At 47.8% G+C, this 3,687-nt stretch overlaps 1 annotated feature.

Moving 5' to 3' along the window:
• Nucleotides 260–1,459: an enhancer, noted in NCBI's record as "P300/CBP strongly-dependent group 1 enhancer chr20:55181331-55182530 (GRCh37/hg19 assembly coordinates)". NCBI's record gives its function as "activates an origin of replication core promoter dependent on BRD2, BRD4, P300/CBP, MED14 and CDK7 cofactors, with strong dependence on P300/CBP, by STARR-seq in HCT116 cells {active_cell/tissue: HCT116}" and the evidence as "EXISTENCE:reporter gene assay evidence [ECO:0000049][PMID:35650434]".

Raw genomic sequence — 3,687 nt, 5'->3', positions numbered from 1 at the left:
TTTAAAGAAACTTCTCTAGTAACCAACTATAGAAATTATCCCTGAAAGTGTAGTTTCTTTTTTTTTTTCTTTTTTGAGACGGGGTCATGCTCTGTCACCCAGGTTCAATCACTCAATCGGGGCTCACTGCAGCCTCCATTTCCTGGGCTCAAGCGATCCTCCCACCTCAGCCCGGTGAGTAGCTGGGACCACAGGAGCATGCGAGCACACCCAGCTAATTTTTGTATTTTTTGTAGTGACGGGGGTCTCACCGTGCTGCCCAGGCTGGTCTCAAACTCCTGGCCTTAAGTGATCCTCCTGCCTAGGCCTCCCAAGGTGTTGGTATTATGGGCATGAGCCACCACCGCACCTGGCCCAGTCTTCTTTTTATTAGTCTTGTATCAAGCATTCTCATAGAATTTGTTTTTTTGGTTTGGGTCTTGAGCCCGTGTGGAACTGTGGAATGTGCGTGTATATGTGTTTGGGGTTTGAGGAGGAAGCCTCATGTTACTGTTTGCAAATGAATAGACTTCCAGTTGATTGGCCTAATAGCATTTACTTAAAAATCCCTCCCATTTAAAGTGCTGTCTTCATCATTTCCCTGATTCCTGCATATTCTTGGATCCTTGCTGGACTCTGCCATGCTGTGGGTGAAACCATCTATTGGACACAGATACCAGATGGAGCGCAAAGGCCTTCGCCTTGTTTCTCTGCCTCCTCTCACTGACTCCACCCTCCACAAGAACTTTACAATCTCTTGGATTTCTTCAACTCTACACAATTCCCTCCTCCGCCAAAAAAATGTTTTTCCTTTAATTTTGAGCAGAATTACTCTTAATTTGTAGATGCCTTTTGAGAGATCTGAGATCTTTATATGAATGAGGCTGGTCCCTTTTAGGTATAGCTGGAACAACAACAAAAAAAGCCAGCTCTTTGGTGCAGAGCCCGGGGGCTAAAAAAAATAAAATTCCAGACAGGTGACCGAAGGATGGCCACAAGGGCATAGAGTCCTCAAATGACTCACCTGCGGCTCTGGCCAAAGGCTTCTTCCGGATTCTTCTGCTCAGGGCAAGGGTGTGGCAGCACCAGGCTCCCAGCCCTGAGGTGAGGTTGGAGCAGCACCCAGGATAGGGTGCAATTTATTTTCAGTGAAAGAATTGTAGCCTCATTCCACATAGGAACTCTTCCCATGGGTAGGAATCAGATGTATTAAAAAACAATCGCTAATCAGGTATTGATCACTTTTAGGCACTCTCATTGTTTGAAAAGTCATAGTAGCTTTCATTCAACAAGTATTTCTCCTACTCCTTCTGTGTCCTAAGGGTGGGTATATGGCAGTCTGTGTGTGATGATTACTTCCTGGCCTGGGAGAAAAGCAATGAGCAAATAAGTAGTAAGATGCATGGCCCAGCATCTGGAAACAGGGCCACAGGGCAAAGTAAAGCCAGAGGGGGAGGACACCTTAGGCGCTGGAACCATTTCTTTTTCTTTTCTTTTCTTTTTTTTTTTGAGACTGAGTCTTGCTTGCTCTGTCAACCAGGCTAGAGTGCAGTGGTGCGATCTCGGCTCACTGCAACCTCCACCTCCCAGGTTCAAAAGATTCTCATGCCTCAGTCTCCCTAGTAGCTGAGATTACAGGCAGGTGCTACTATTCCCAGCTAATATTTGTACTTTTAGTAGAGACGGAGTTTCACCATGTTGGCCAGCTGTTCTCCAACTCCTGACCTTAGGTGATCCGCCCACCTCAGCCTCCTGAAGTGCAGGGATTACGGGTGTGAGCCACCGCACCTGGCTCTGCTGGTGCAATTTCAATAGGCTTGTTGGGGAGGCCTCGCACAACTCATATGTTAATAATCACAACCTGGGATTACTCTATTTCTTTATCATTTATTAGCTTCTTGTCTGTATCTTGCACTAGAATAGGAGCCTGTCAACGGCAGTGACCTCAACTGTCCCCATAGGCCTGGTTGATGTTTAACACATGGCAGGCTCTCACTGCTGGTGGGAAGACTCAGTGAAGCTGCTATCAACCAGCAAGATCCAGGCCTCAAGAAAAAGTAGATTAATTCAGAGAGGACCAGCCACTGCCTTCCACACAGTGGAGATAGCCAACCTTAAACTTTAATGATCCATTGGTTTTGGTCCAGCGGTAGTTCAGTTCCACTGGATCTGGGGCCCTGGGCCTGGGATTTTGCATTTCTAGCAAGCTCCAGGGTGGTTTGGTGGCCCTGCCTGGGGATCACACTTTGAGCACAGCCCTTGAAGACATTCATTTAAGTGCTTTACAATGTTTGGCAAGTTTCCAAAGCTTTCCAGCTCTTCCTCTGGTCTCATTTAAAAGCACAGAATTGAAAAGGGGACCTGTTGTTAGATGGTAAGAAATTATTATTCATTTATTATTATTATTTTTTGAGATGAAGTCTCACTCACTCTGTTGCCCGGGCTGGAGTGCAGTGGCATGATCTCTGCTCACTGCAACCTCCCCCTCTCAGGTTTGAGCAATTTTCCTGTCTCAGCCTCCCCAAGTGCTATGATTACAGATGGGAGTCACAGAATTAATAAGTGCCTGGCTTATTTATTTATTTTGAGATAGGGTCTCACTCTGTCACTCAGGCTGGAGTGCAGTGGCACAATCATGGCTCACTGCAGCCTCAACCTCCTGGGCTCAAGCAATCCTCCCACCTCAGCCTCCCAAGTAACTGAGACCACAGCCTTCCACCACCACGCCGCGCTAATTTGTGTGTGTGTGTGTGTGTGTGTGTGTGTGTGTGGAGATGGGGGTCTCACTCTGTTGTCCAGGCTGGTCTCAAATTCCTTGCCTCAAGCCATTCCCCTGTCTTGGCCTCCCAAAGTGCTAAGATTACAGGCACAAGCCACTGCACCCAGCCCAGAAATTTTTATTAACGTGTACTGGGAGTGACGATCACACTGGGCGTTAGAAAAACAAACAAGCAAGAACGCCTTTATCTGCTTAGATGGACACTGATATATTTCTGGGTAAAATGATATGAGGTCGGGGTGTGTTTTACAATACTGAGAAAGGAGGGACGGGTGGAGGAGAGGGATGGGTGAACCCAAGCGGCAGAAAATGTGGCAGTTGGGACCCCCATGGGTAGGCCAGGCACAGTGGCTTACGTCTGTAATCCAAGCGCTTTGAGAGGCTGAGGCAGGAGGATTGATTGAGCCCAAGAGTTCCAGACCAGCCTAGGCTGTTCTCTACAAGACCCCGTCTTTACAGGAAATTTAAAAATTAACCAGCCATGGTGGCATGTGCCTGTGGTCCCAGCTACACGAGAGGCTGAGGCAGGAGGATTGCTCAAACCCAGGAGGTTGAGGCTGTAGCAAGCAGAGTTTGTGCCACTGCACTCCAGCCTGGGTGACAAAGCGAGACCCTGTCTCAATTTATAAAAAAGAAAAAGGGCCAGGCATGGTGGCTTACACCTGTAATCTCAGCACTTTGGGAGGCCCAGGCAGGTGGATCACTTGAGGTCAGGGGTTCAACACCAGCCTGGCAAACATGGTGAAACCCCGTCTCCACTAAAAATACAAAAATTAGCCGGGCATGAGGCACGTCTGTAATCCCAGCTAATCCAGAGGTTGAGGCAGGAGAATAACTTGAACCCAGGAGGCGGAGGTTGCAGTGAGCAGAGATCGTGCCACTGCACTCCAACCTGGACAATAGAGGGAGACTCTGTCTCAAAAAAAAAA

Source organism: Homo sapiens, chromosome 20 (assembly GCF_000001405.40).
Source record: "Homo sapiens chromosome 20, GRCh38.p14 Primary Assembly".
Lineage (NCBI taxonomy): Eukaryota > Metazoa > Chordata > Mammalia > Primates > Hominidae > Homo > Homo sapiens.
Note: the sequence above shows the minus strand (reverse complement) of the source record. Positions and strands in the feature narration are given on the sequence as shown.